At 44.9% G+C, this 14532-nt stretch overlaps 1 protein-coding gene across 8 annotated transcripts in view, besides 1 other annotated feature; it reads left to right on the forward strand.

Moving 5' to 3' along the window:
• IL16 (interleukin 16) overlaps window positions 2418–14532 on the forward strand; it is a 131347-nt gene continuing 119232 nt past the window's right edge. For 6 of the 8 annotated variants that reach the window (XM_047432447.1, XM_047432448.1, XM_047432451.1 and 3 more), the window contains exons 1-2: window positions 2418–2602; window positions 8059–8109. In XM_047432447.1, coding sequence (XP_047288403.1) covers window positions 2563–2602; window positions 8059–8109 — 91 coding nt within the window. In that variant the 5' untranslated portion in view covers window positions 2418–2562. The remainder of the gene's footprint in view (window positions 2603–8058; window positions 8110–14532) is intronic. The other 2 variants (NM_001438661.1, XM_047432450.1) reach the window with 1 other exon arrangement.
• Window positions 9239–10438: an enhancer, noted in NCBI's record as "P300/CBP strongly-dependent group 1 enhancer chr15:81481874-81483073 (GRCh37/hg19 assembly coordinates)". NCBI's record gives its function as "activates an origin of replication core promoter dependent on BRD2, BRD4, P300/CBP, MED14 and CDK7 cofactors, with strong dependence on P300/CBP, by STARR-seq in HCT116 cells {active_cell/tissue: HCT116}" and the evidence as "EXISTENCE:reporter gene assay evidence [ECO:0000049][PMID:35650434]".

The following is a 14532-nucleotide window of genomic DNA, read 5'->3' on the forward strand; positions in this document are numbered from 1 at the left end:
CCACTTTTAAGGATACTTGTGATTACACTAGGCCAGCCTGGATCATGCAGGATGATTCCTTTATTTCGAAGTCAGCTGATTAGCAACCTTAATTCCATCTGCAATCTTATCCTCCCTTGTCATGTAACATCACATATTCACAGGTTCCCAGGTTCAGGATGTGGACATCTCTGGAGAAGCCATTTTTCTGTCCATCACACTTTTGTCAAAGGCTTGATTCATATCATTATGAACCATGGTTTTCAGTATTATGGTCTTTGCTACTGATTTAACAAAGTCTATTTAGAAATTCTAAAGCCAATGCTTTGACTTATTTTTTTTTAATAATCATATAGATGGCATGAATTGAAAGTGAAAAGCCCAAAGGGATATTGAAAAGCTCATGGTGAAAATAAAAATAAAAAACTCAATTTTATTCTCCAGATCTGATCTTGTTTCATGTATGTGGATCGTATTTACACCATGTTTTTTTGTAAGCGGTTTTATTCACTTAATAATATAATGCAGACATCTTTCTATGGCAATACATCTTATTTTATCACATCATCTTAATTTCTTTTCTTTTCTGTCTTTCTTTTTTTTTTTTTTTTGAGACAAAGTCTCACTTTGTCACCCAGGCTGGAGTGCAGTGGCACGATCTTGGCTCACTGCAATGTCCACCTCCTGGATTCAAGCAATTCTCCTGCCTCAGCCTCCCGAGTAGCTGGGATTACAGGCACATGCCACCACACCTGGCTAATTTTTGTATTTTTAGTAGAAATGGGGTTTCGCCATGTTGGCCAGGCTGGTCTTGAACTCCTGACCCCAGGTGATCCACCCACCTTGGCCTCCCAAAGTGCTGAGATTACAGGTGTGAGCCACGGTGTCTGGCCTCACATCATCTTAATATCTGCAGAGTACTCCCAGAATTTATCTAGCCTATTGCTTATTGTTGCTGCCATTGGGTACGACTAAAATGCAAGGCCAGTTTCTGGCCCTCACAGTGCTCCTGGCACAGCTGCAGCATCCTGCAGTTTCAGAGCCTAGGCAGTTCATTCAATAATCAGAGTAAGGAAGGGTCAGGAAGTGCCAGTGTAGGGTCCCCACCCTCACCCAGGGGTGATGATGGCTCTCAGGGAGCTGTTCTGACTCCAGGTGCTGATAGCAGAGTTTCTCTGGCAACCTGTAGCACTGCCTTGAGAAATGATTATCTAAAGTATATTTGCATGGGGGTGAGGGGTGCAGAGGGAGTACGAGAGTCACAGTGTCTTGGCAGTGGATTGAGCAGAGTGATGGTGATGCCAGTGGCCACGACTCTTTGGAGCCCTGAGTGGTAGCAGTGATATTGAGGCCAGAGGCACCACGGCAGGGGGCCCATCCCAGAAAGACCTGGGGCCCTTGGCTGGTGACAGATAACTCAGGGACTAGACCAGGATCTGTCTCACTTGCTTTCCTGGTAAGTTTTTCTCTCTATCAAACAGAGCAGGTTTTCCCTCCCATTCAGTCTCACATTGCTATGTCCAGAAAATCATCACACTCTTCCACCAGAGGGGTGGATATTACTTTCTCAGTTTTCAGTTTTGTTTGCCCACTCACTGTATATTCTTTTGGTCTTTCCAATGGTGATCCAAGGATTTATTTAACCCAGCAGTCAAATTGGTCATTTTAAATAATAGTACATCTTGTCCAAGTCCAAAAATAAAATGTCCTGGTATGAGAAGGCAAGCGGAGGAAATTGGGTAGAGTAGGCTGAAAATGTTTTATAGCACCATTACCCGGAGCCCAAGCCCCTTTTTCATTTATCCCTTTTTTGTCCCGGCATGGCAGGAGTCAGAGCGCCTTCTGTTTGTCTTGATTAAAGTCAGCCTCCACCTTCCCCCGAGCCCAGTTGCCCTTCTCAGGACACAGGCTGCATTCACCATGGGTCTCTCTGCCCAAGCTCTTTGCAGATTTTATGAAAGGCGTTTTCACTTGGATTAAACAGGCGCTGTGTTTGTGTGTGGTGTGTGTGAAGGAGAAAATGAATCACTTCAACTTTGGGCAAGGATTTTAGGTGTAGTGTTTGTCCCATGCAATTACATAAACACACCAGAACTCATTAAAAAAAAAAAGTAGAAGAGGGGGGCAGAGATTCAAGTGCTTGCGATGATCTAAACAGTGCGGCACATTTTCCATACATTAGACCTCAGAAAGGGTTGTGTTCTGCCCTCTCACAACAGACTCCAAGTCCAAAGGAAAGTTTGAGGTTTTACATTTCTGTTTGTGGTACAGGAAAAGGCTTATGCTCTGAGGGCTTGATTCAGTGAAATAACATTGCCTTTATACACATTTGCTTCTCAAGGAGGGCAGGAGTTGGAAGCGACCGTTGTGAAACGTTAAAGATTTTCTGGCAGAGGGAAAGGGATTTTTTTTTTCTCCCTCCCTGCCGAGGAAAAAACAGTTCTAACGAGGAGTTACTTTGTAGTTTTAACTCATATTCAAATACTCCCAGCCGAGAAGCTGCCATCGATCCTCCCATGGACCCCTGATCCTGGTTTGGAGGAACTTTTCACAGCTCTCTCTCCCTCCCTCAAACCCTGTGCAATGAGTTTGCAGAAGAGAGTCTTCCCGAGAAGGCAGAACGGTGAGTGGAGCTCCTTCTCCTATCCCAGGGGACTCAGGGGAGGTTGGAATGGAGGGGTGGACCCTTCCTGACATCCTCCCAGGGGAATGGAAGCATGGTTTTGGTCCCACTGTGTAGTATATGAGTGAGTGTGTGTGTGCACACGTGTGAGTGTGTGTGCACACGTGTAAGTGTGTGCACACGTGTGCTACAATAGGACACAATGCCTGTCTTTGCAGAGGCTGGCTGAGTGCTCACCAAGTGCTTGGCAGAGAGTTCGGGAAGGGCAATTGCAGGACCCCCACAGGGGAGGAGAGTGAACCCTGGCCAGGGCAATGGTTTTCCATGTGCCCCGGCTTCCTCTTCAAGGGGCAGAGGCATCAGTGTCTAAAACGCTAGCTGTCAGGGTCCCCACCAGTTCCGCTCCAGTTTCAGCAGAAGCAGAACAGAAGAGGGAGCTGCTCAGCTCCGGGAGAAGTGAACGGAGTGCTGGTCTCTGGAGCAGATCTGAGAACTGGGAGGGGCCTCCATCCAGATCCCCTACCTTCCTGCAGGTACAGCCCAACAGATGAGAGCATTTCTTATTAAAATCTTCTTCTTTTGCTCTGGAAACATAAACAGGCATCAGGGCAGAACGTTTTAACCCTTCTGCCCAACTTTTAAAGTTAACACTGGCGAAACTTCAGCTCTGTTGCAACTTTGGCATAAGAGAGTAAACACATGGTTTTCCTTAAAAAGGAGAAGTAAGCAAGTCAAAGGCATATTCTGACTTTTCTAGCTACAGAAAGATATGGCTAGAACCCTGGCATCTACTTGCTTAGGTTGCATTAAGGCATCCGCTGAAGTCTGAAGAAAGGCAGTGGGGTGTAGGGAATAAGAACCTGGGCCATGGGGCGTGGCCACCTGGGATGGAATCTTGGCTCTGAGGGTAACAGGCTCCTTGATCTTGGAAAAGGCATTCAAAGGCTCACTTTCCTCCTTTGCAAAACGGTGGTCATAAATTCTTACCTCAGAGGACGGCAGAAACAATAACTAAGATAAAGTGTGTGAAATGACCCAAATGGCATGTACGTATTCAGAGGATATGTCAGCTCTCCTAAGCAGGCTGCTCCCCTCTTCTCTCACAGCAACCATCATAGATATACAGGCTTGAGGATGAAGAAAAGAGTGCTTGAGGGCCCAAAGTAGCCCTGGCTCTTCGTATAGCAGAAAGTAGGGTGAGCATTCAGGCGGCCTCCCTTTGGAGGCAGATGACATGGATGCATTTACTTCCACTGGGGATCTTCGAGGGTGGGACTTGACCTGGTGTTTACTAGGTGCTCCGTGTTTGGTGAAACCATTTTATTCACTCTGATTCACAGGGAGGTCTTACCACTTCCTACCCTGGCTGCACTGCCTTTGGTTGGGTTTCCCTGGTAACAGATGGTGAGACAGAGATTTGCGCATAGGAAGTTCATTGGTGTGTGCTCTGGGAACAACACCAGCGTGGGGTGAGGGAGACAGAACCAGACAGATGGAGAAGTTGGGCTGTGATGCAGTTGCAACACTGGCCTCAGCGGATCCAGGGGATCTTATGGGGTTTTGTATCCCTGCAGTGACCAGTCATTGCTTGTGGGCTGCCCCTGGAATCCAGGCATAACCTTGGGTGAGGCAACTGTCTTTGGCTGAAGGCAGTTTCCCGAGAGGGACTCAGTTGTGAGTTGTCACAGGCAACACTTATGTCAGCTGTGGGAATGAACACCTCGGTCCAGGGGTGAGGAGCTTATCCGGGCGATGCCCCATCAACTACTCAATACATTTGACACAGTGCCTTCTTTCTCTGAGTTAGGCTGTTAGAAGATTGGGCATTCACATGCAGGGACACCTGTCCAGTTAAATCCTTGCATAGAAGTGTGCCTTTGGATAAGCCCCTTTCCATATCTGGGACTCAGTGTCCCTGTCTATAAAGTGGATGGAAGGGTGTTGGACTAGACATGGCCTCTAAAAACACTCCAGCTCTGCTATTTCACATGTGCAGATTCTGAGCATGTGGTCATGGTGGTTGGATGTGTCCTCAATAATAGTTGGGTCCTGTGGTCTCCACCATAGGTGCCTTGACTCCTTCTGCTGGGAAATAGGAATCGAGTCACCTGGGGATCCTTGGGACTTGGCCCCTGTCAGCAAGGAGGGGCTGGGCCTGTGGGAAGCAGAGGGAGGCTCTGCATAGGGCTGGAGGGTGGGGCGTAGGGTTTGAGGAGGATTCTGCTGCACACCTTCCCCCACCATCCCCCCAACGTCTCTCCAATAAAAAAAGTAAAACCACATGACACACTGCCATATGTCTTTGATAGTTAAGAGCTATGTAATGTTGCCCGGGACAAGCATGGATATAGTTTTATTACTCTCCGTCTCCTCCTAATTTCCTATTTACTTTTCAATATACAAAGAGTGAAATCACTTTCCCAAACACTTGGAATTCATTTTCATTGCTTTTTTTCTTTTCTTTTCCTTTTTTTTTTTTTGACAGGATCTCATCTGTCGCCCAGGCTAGAGTGCAGTGGCATGATCATGGCTCACTATGGCCTCAACCTCCTGGGTTCAAGTAGTTCTCCCACCTCACCCTCCTTAGTAGCTGAGACTACAGGAGCGTGCCACCATGCCTGGCTAAATTTTATTTTTTTGTAGAGATGGAGTCTTCCTATGTTGCTCAGGCTGGTGAGCCACTGTGCCCAGCCTGGAATTTATTTTCAACAAATTATTTATTTAGAGTATTCTAGGCTTCAAGCACTGTGCTGGGCTCTGGGGATCTAATGGGACACATTAAACAAACAACTGTACACACATAAATATAACGGCAAAGAGGGTTAAGTTCTATGGGAGGCTGTAACAGGGAACTGGCCTAGTCTGGCAGATCAGCGTGGGGCTTCCCTGAGGAGGTGCTATTTGAGTTGTTTTCTGAAGGGTGTGTGGGAGTTACACTGGGGCAGAGATGGAGAAGCAAATGGGCGAATTGTAGAATAGGGATGGGAAAAGAAAGTGTTTTAAATCTTACCAGCTTAACCTAGCCACTGTGAGTTTTTTAAGTGTACATCCATCCAGTCTGTTTTTCTTGCAGCATCTTAAACAAATTATGGTGACTTGTTAGCTAAGGGAATAAGATCTTTTTGCTGGTGGGGCAAGGTTTTGCCTGTGTATCAGCCAGTTGTCTCTGTTCCCCACATCTGGCAGCCAACCCCTCAGTGTGCATCCCTCACTACCAGAGGCCTCGCCCTGAACCCTGGAAAGCCCTCAGTAATACCAGCAGCTCCCTCTTCCTGAGTGCTTTCAGCACCAGGCATTGATTTAGGATCAACCTGCATGAGCACTGACTCATTTGATCTTACCTACAGCGCTTTATTTTTATTTTTATTTTTTATTTTTACCTACAGCACTGTGGGGTACATGCTGTTGTCTTTACTTCTCAGGTGAACCAAAACAAGACACAGGGAGTTTAACCAGGTGGTGAGTGGCAGGACAGATTTGAACACAGGCGGGTCTATTCCATCCTAAAGCCTGTACTCTTAGTAAGCAGTATGCAGCTGAAAAAGCACGGTGAGCTTTCTACATATCCATACTGCTCACATGCTGATGCTTCCACTCGACATTGGGTTGTGGATAACTTCTCAGTTCCGACAAAGTTATCTGAACCACCAGTCTTACCAACCTCAGAAAAACAGATCAGATGCCTGTGCAGTAATTTATTTAACCATTCCCCAATTATGGACATCTTGGCTTGCTTTCAATTTTATGTTTTCCAAAATATCATCATAAATATTTTCAAACATATGGAAAAGAGGAAAGAATTGTAGTCAACATACCTATGTCCACTATCTAGATTCTACAAATAACATTTTAGTATATTTGCTTTATCACATCTATCCATCTCTCCATCCCTCTGTCCATCCATGCATCCATCTTTTTTTTTCATTTTTTTCTTTTTTAAATATAGAGATGAAGTCTTACTATGTTGCCCAGGGGAGCCTCGAACTCCTGTCCCCAAGTGATCCTCCCTGCCTCAGCATCCTAAAGTGCTGAGATTACAAGAGTGAGCCACCATGCCTGGCTATCCATCTCATTTTTGAATGCATTTCCAAATAAGTTGGGGATTAAATAAAGAGTACCTGAGGGCCCAAAGTAGCCCCCCTGGCTTCCTCTCTAGTAGAAAGTAGGGTGAGGATATAGGTGATCTCCCTTTGGAGGCAGACTATGTGTGTGCACTTACTTACACTGGCGAACCTTCCAGGGTGGAACTTGACTTCATCATACATCTAACTTTCAATATTTGTTTACTGTTGTTCTTTCAGGTAAGATTTACATACAGTGAAATGTATGTATCTTAAGTGCACTGTTCAGTTCATTGTGAAAAGTGTATATCCCAGTGTAAAGCACACCCCTAGCAAGGCATAAAATGTTATCATCACTGGCTGGATGCAGTGGCTCACATCCGTAATCGCTACACTTTTGTAGGCTGAGTAGGGAGATGGCTGATGCCCAGGAGTTCAAGACCAGTCTGTGCAACATAGCAAGACCCCATCTCTAAAAAAATTAAAAATTTGCTGGGTGTGACGGTGCACACCTGTAATCCCAGGTACTTGGAAGGCCGAGGCAGGAGGGTTGCTTGAGTCTGGGAGGTTGAGTTTGCAGTGAACTATGATTGTATCACTGCATTCCCGCCTGAGTGACAGTAAGACTTTGTTCACCCCCACCCAAAAAAATTACCATCATGATCACCCCATAAAGCTCTTTTGTGCCCTTCTCAGTTGCTTTCAATTTTTGCTGATAATACACAACTTGTTGCTAACTTTAAAGACCTGATTAAATAAAGTATGGCACCTGCTTTGTCCTCCTTTGACCGTGGGGGCAGAACCTTTGCCTGCAAAGGCCCCCAGTTGTGGTGAGCAGACCTCATGATGAGTTCAAGTGCAGACTTTGGCTGGGGGTTCTGGGATAAGAAAGCAGCACCAAGCCATGGGTTATTCTGGGCTAAAGGGCAACAAGGTACGGAGAGTGGTCCTGGCTATCTCTGGGCTTGGGATTAGGGTTGCAGTTTTGGGTTCTGACAGTGAGGTTAGAAACAGGCCAGGGAAGAGGAGATGGAGCAGGGGCCCCATGGGTGGTGAGCACTGTATTGAGGCTTTGTATGTCCTTGTTTATCCTGAGGGCCTCACCTGAGCCCCCATGGACCCTAAGGCCCAGTGATGGGTGCCAAGCTGTTCCCACTAGAGTTGTCCTCATATTTCCTGCTGCAGTCCAGACTAGAATGGGCATTGGAGGCAATGCATGTACCTTTCGCTAGCAAGATGAATACAAAAACAGCACAAAATAGATTGCAGGTAGTGTCGGGCAGATGTGCTTTCAGCCGTCTGAATCGCTATGTTGTTATGAGGTGGAGAGGGGGAGGGTATAGACACAGGCATTTCTGGCTCTTGCACACTGCTGTTCTTTTCTTCCCATTGCAGAGGGTGTGTGGAGCACTGCGGGCGAGATGGAGCTGAGGGAAGGCAGAGCTGGTACGTGTTGAACGTCCACTGTATTTCAGGCAGTGAGAGCGTTCTGTATAAGTCTTATAATAACCCATTTTACAGATGAGGAAGCTGATGCTCAGAAAGAGGACTGGCTTCCCTCAGGTCAGACACTAGTCAGCAGCAGCCCAGGGGATAGGTACTCAGGCTGCTGGACTCCTGGACCAGTGCTCTTTTCAATGCAAACCCCTCCTGTGACTAGGGTGTGCACGTGCATACGTATGCCTGTAACAGGTTAGATCCATGTGTTGATGTGTCTATATTGTCTCTGTGTCTATGCATCTGATCACAAAGAATCCCTCTTTCCCTCCTTCCTTTGCCCTTCTTCCTCCCGGCCTTTTTTTCTTCTTTCTCTTCCTCTTCTCATCCCTTCCTCTCACAGCTACTTAGCATCCAGTTTGTGTCAGGTACTATGCTCAATACCAGGGCTACAAAGAAAGATATGGCACAGCCCCTGGCAGCAAGGCTTTATTCTCTTACTGGTAAGGCAGACACACGGATGAGAGAACTCAGCATGGAGTGCTTTGGGAGGACAGAAGGGCAGCTCCTTATTTATTTCTTATTTATTGAAACAAGGAGTGCAGTGGTATGATCAAGGCTCACTGCAGCCTTGACCTCCTGGCTTAAGCCTGGGCTTAAGCAATCCTCCCGCCTCAGCCTCCTAAGTAACTGAGACTATAGGCACATGCCACCATGCCAAGATAATTTTTTTTTTTTTTTTTTTTTGAGACGGAGTCTCACTACATCACCCAGGCTGGAGTGCAGTGGCACGATCTTGGCTCACTGCAACCTCCACCTCCTGGGTTCAAGCGATTCTTTTGCCTCAGCCTCCCGAGTAGCTGGGATTACAGGAGCCTGCCATCGTGCCCGGCTAAGTTTTGTATTTTTAGTACAGACAGGGTTTCTCCATGTTGACCCAGCTTGTGTCCAACTCCTGATCTCAAATGATCCACCTGCCTTGGTCTCCTAAAGTGCTGGGATTACAAGCATGAGCCACTGCACCTGGCCCATACCAAGCTAATTTTTCATTTTTATTTTTGTAGGGACAGAGTCTTGCTGTAGAGACAGGGTCTTTCCCAGGCTGGTCTTGAACTCCTGGCCTCAAGTGATTCTCCCACCTCAGCCTCCCAAAGAGTTAGGATTACAGGTCTGATCCACTACGACCAGTCAAGTGATTTAATGTGTGAGTTGGGAGGGGGTGTCAGGGAAGTCTTCCTGGAGGAGGTGATTCTGAGCCAAGCCTTGAAAAACATACAAGAGTTCACTGGAGGCAGGGCTTGTTGAAGCTCTTGCTTAGAAAGGGCAGAGTGTGCTGACATGTGGAGGTGGAAGGATGCACGAAGCATCTGGAGGAACTTCAAGCGTCGGAGAGACAAGCCTGTGTTCTTGGGCAGGGATTTAAAATTTTTACTTATTGAGTCAGTCATGTCATGACAACAACAAATTAAGAGAAGAAAGTAGGGATTTCTTAATCTTTAAAAATGTTGCTTTCTGATGCAAGGCAGGAAGCGGCGTTCCTCAGATACTTGTGTGGGCAGAAAGACTGAAAGCGTGGGACAAATAACTGCTTTGCACAGCTGGGCACCATCCACCTCGAACTCCACCCTTGTCCTGTCTGAAGCCACGCAGGCCAGGGCCCCTGGCCAGGGCATCTCGGACATTCTGTGACAGCCAGAAAAGACGAGGGACTCAACTGCCTCCACACCCTTGTAAAAGGCAAGACCCCAAACTGAACACATGGTTCCTGCCAAAGTCTTGCTGAGTGGAAACATTCTCCCCCTTCTCCCCCGGGTGTGTCACTCATTAATACCTGGCCTTTTCTTGTTGCCAGGTGGTGCTGTGCAAACCATCCTAATATTGGCCTTAAAAATAGCACCACCCAGGCACTGACCACTCCCTCCCAGTGTGGCGTTTAACCCTTTCTAAGCCCACCCATGTGATAGGGCTGAAGGGGATGGGTAGGAATCTACAGATGCTCAGCACGGCAATGTTTACTTACTCAGCTTTTGTTACAAGGACAAGAACTGACTGGATTTTGTTGTCAGATAATCCTGGGTTAACATCCTGGCTCTGTACTTTGGGCTTTGAGTTGTTTTACTCCCTGTGATGTCTCTTCCTCCCTTTCTTATAAGAAAAAGGGGAAATCATTATGGTACCAACCCTCCAAGTGAATTGTGGAGCTGGATACTGTGTGGATGGTACTTAGCCTTGTGTCTAGCTGTTCCATGGTGAGCAGGCCTATGCAAACCTACCCCCAAAGGCTGAGGAAGTTGAGGGGCCAAAGAAAGAAGCTGAAAAATCCAGTTTCTTAGAAAGAAATGTTGAATAGGGACTTATGTCCAGAAGCCATGTCTGTGTCTAGGACGGCGAGACAAGATGGTGAATCCCCACAATTACACCCCAGACCCAGGGTTTATATATCATAGGAGAAGGGTACAGTGCTTCAGAAGGAATGGGTAGGGTGATTGCTCAAGGTCAGGATTTATGGTAAGTACAATAACATCAAGATTGTTTTGACCTAAGGGTAGGATAAGTACATGCTCTTATACAAGGAACAGTAGATAGACTAGAAACCTTACGAGACTTTCCTGGAACTGGAGTTAATCAGAATCCAACATGGGGGATTAGCACCCAAGATGGAGTTGCCTCAGCCTCCACACTGGCCCACAGCAAGTGCTGCACAAATGCTTGTTGTTGCTGTTATTAATCAGCCAAGGTTCTATATCTCTGAGTACTTTTTATTTGTTTTAGAGCCATGAATTAAACCAAGTGATTCTTCTTGTCATAACCGGAGGGTCATGAATGCTCTTGGAACTAAACTCTCTTCCCTTGGAGAGAACATTCTGTTTCCTAATCTGTGGCTTCTAGGAGCTAAGAGAGATACTGTGAATATGTTTTTTAAGTTCCATTTAAACCTGGGCCTAATCACATAAATTACGCTAAGGAAATGTCTGGAAGAGCTCTTTGTAAACTGAAAACTACAAACAAATGTAGAAACTCATTACATGGCATTAGTCATTTATTCATTCATTTATGCATTGATTCACTCAGTAAATGTTTATCAACCCTTTATGGGCCAGGCATGCTCTAGTGCTGGGGACCCCACAGTGAACAGGCTGATGAGGTCCCTGTGTGGGACCTAGATGGGGCGGATGGGTGGTATGTAAGTACCCAAGCAGACTAACAAGACAGCTTCAAATGCTGGCAAGTTCTATGAAGAAAATAAAATAAGGAGAGGTAACGGTGAGTGCCTGGTTTAGGTTGAGTGGTCAAGAAAGATCCCACTTAGGAGATGGAGTCAGGGAAGAGCCAGCCATATGAAGATCTGGAAGTGGAACTTTCCTGTAAGAGAAAACAGCTAGGGCAGAAGTCTTAGGGTGACAAGGGCATGGCTTATTCAAGAAAGAGCCAGAAGGCCAGGGTGGCTGTGGGATGCAGCGAGCAGGAGAGGCAGAGGTGGAAGCTGGAGTTTGGGAGATAAACAAGGGTGAGATCATTTAGCTCCTTTGGGACACTGTAAGGAATTTGGGTATTATTTTGGAAAACAACGCAAAGCCTTTGGAAGGGGTGGAGCACAGGGCATTTTTGGGGCAGTAAATATATCTCTCTGTCTGATACTACAGTGGTAGATCCATAACGCTATGCACTTGTCAGAACCCATAGAACTGCACAACACAATGGGTGAACCATCACGTAAGCCATGAACTTTAGCTAATAATCATGTATCAGTATTGATTTATCAATTGTAAAAAGGTACCACGCCAATGCAAGATGTTAATAGTATGGGAAATTGTGTGTGTGGAGAGGGAGATCAGTATTCGGGAGTTCTGTACTTTCTATGCAATATTTCTGTAAAGCTAAAACTGCTCAGAACAATAAAGTTTATTAAATTTTTAAAAAAGTGGTTGGGTGCAGTGGCTCATGCCTATAATCCCAGCACTTTGGGAGGCCAAGGAAGGAGGACTGCTTGAGGCCAGGAGTTCAAGACCAGCCTGGGCAACACAGAGAGACCGTGTCTCTACAAAAAAAAAGAAAAAAGAAAAAATAGCCAAATGTGGTGGCATGTGCTTGTTGTCCTAGCTACTCGGGAGGCTGAGGCTGGAGGATTGCTTGAGCCAGGAGTTTAAGGCTGCAGTTAGCTATGATCATACCACTACCCTGCAGCCTGGGCCACAGAGCAAGATGCTGTCTCAAAAACAAACAAACAAACAAAAAACAGTTTTTAAAAGTAATTCAAAGCCCTTGCAAATTTTATGCTGATCCAATTTATATTTTCAAAAAGCCTACCTGCTATTATGTGAAAAATGGATTATGAAGGTCTGCATAGGAACCAGAATCCCAGTTAGAAGGTGAAAGCTATAATCAGACAAGAGGCACTGGTAAGAGGAGGGTGGCGGCAGTGAAGATGGAGAGAAGCGGAAAGAAAGTGGGATAGCTTCTGGGGATAGAGCCAACGAGAATCACTGATAAATTGGATGTGATGTGGAAGGTTAGAGAGATGGAGGGATCAAGATGAATAAAAACTCACAGAGGGCTTATTCTGGCAGGCACTGTTCTAAGAACCTTACAAGTATTACCATATTTAGCCCAAACAAACCTTGTGAGGTGGATGTTAGTGCACTAGCCAGCCTATAGATGACAAAACCAGTCCACAGAGAAGTGCCTTTTTGCCTGCCTATGATCATGCACTTGGGCAGGGACAGACCTGCGAGATGAACCCAGGAATTTTGGCTTCAGAGCCTGTGCTATGTTCTTCCCACCTTGATACTGAGGATTTTGGCTTGGGAAATTGATGGATGCTAGTGACAATTACCAAAATGTGGAAGTTTAGGGAAGAAACATTTTATTAGGGGGGGAATCAAGAGTACTGTTGGCAGTGTTCCTTTTTTTTGCCTCACTGAATAACAGCCAGGCAATGTTACTTTTGAAATTTAAGTTAAACCCCAGCTGAAGATGTTAAGCAAGTGGTAGGAAAAAAGAGTCAGAATTCAAGGAGAAGTCCAGGCCTGGAGAAGTGAATTTGGGAGTTGTTGGCATGTGCGTGGTATATTTGCTTGTGGACTGGCTTCAGTTGCTTGTCGTGATTGTAAGTATCTTAGTGATGGAATATTACTTTGAAAGGATGCAAGCCTGATGGACAGTTTGAAAGAAAAAAAGGCCAGAGAGAGGGCAGCATGGTCTACATGGAAGTCAGCTAGAATTTTCGTATGAAGTTAAAACCCTTGGTTTGAATCTATATGTTGCTGTGGGCCAGGGAAAGAGGGGAAGAGAGCCGGGGAGCGGGAATCAAGGGACCAATGGCTTCTGACTGCACAGCCTTGGACGTGCACTTTTTGGACATGTAACTTCTCTGAGTCTCAGTGTTTGCATCCGTAAGTGGGGACGTACAATAAAATCATCAAGTTTTGGCCTCAACATTCTGTCTAAGTTGAAAGTGCTAAATGCAGAGAGAATTTATTATCATCATGTCCATTACTGTCAGGTTACATTACTAGTAACATTACATTACTAGTTAAAATTGTTACATTACTAGTTAAAATTGTTAAATTATATTCTGCGTCATGTTACATTACTAGTTAAAATTGTTACATTACTAGTTAAAATTGTTAAATTATATTCTGCTCATGATAATACAGTTCGCATGACCAAAAGTGTACAGCATAAAGAATTCCCAAGGCATTTTATAGATTGCAGGACAGCTCTTTGCTCAGACCTCTGAGCAGCCCTGTCAGATTATTGGGTTATTGTTTCCATTTTGTGGACATGGAAACTGAGACTCAGTAAGGTAAAAGGACTTGCAGTTGACAGAGCCGCTTAGTACAGAAGCTGGGGCTTATTGCTCTGACCCTAAGCTCTTTATTTTGCCATTGTTTGAACAGAATAGGAGATGACCCTGTTGTGTCATTTTAAGGACACACTTTCTTTTTGCCTTCTGAATATGTTTACTTGCCACAACAAACATGTATTACTTTTATAACTAAAATTTTGAAATTAAAAATTTTTGTAATTTTAATTTTTTAAATTAAATTTAAATTTGTAATTGTAATTTTAATTTTTAAAAATTAAATTAGAATTTTTAAAATTAAAATTTTTTAAATTAATTTTTCAAAATTTATAATTTTAATTTTGTAATTAAAATTTTTGTAATTAAAAATTTACTTTTGGAAATAAAATTTTGTAATTAAAAAATAGGAGAATTAGAAGGAAATACAGGTTATTGATTATGAAACTTTAGCAAGCATCAGAATCACTTGTTGAACAGATTTCTCAGTTCCGTGGGCTGGAAGGGCCAAAAAGGTGAGCAGGCTTCTGCTTGGTTAGCTGTTGGCAGCATGCTTCCTCCTCTATTGCCTCATTCTCTCAGTAACACTGTGCAGTAGAAGTTTCTAATTTCATCTGGCAGACAATTAA

Source organism: Homo sapiens, chromosome 15, assembly GCF_000001405.40.
Source record: "Homo sapiens chromosome 15, GRCh38.p14 Primary Assembly".
NCBI lineage: Eukaryota > Metazoa > Chordata > Mammalia > Primates > Hominidae > Homo > Homo sapiens.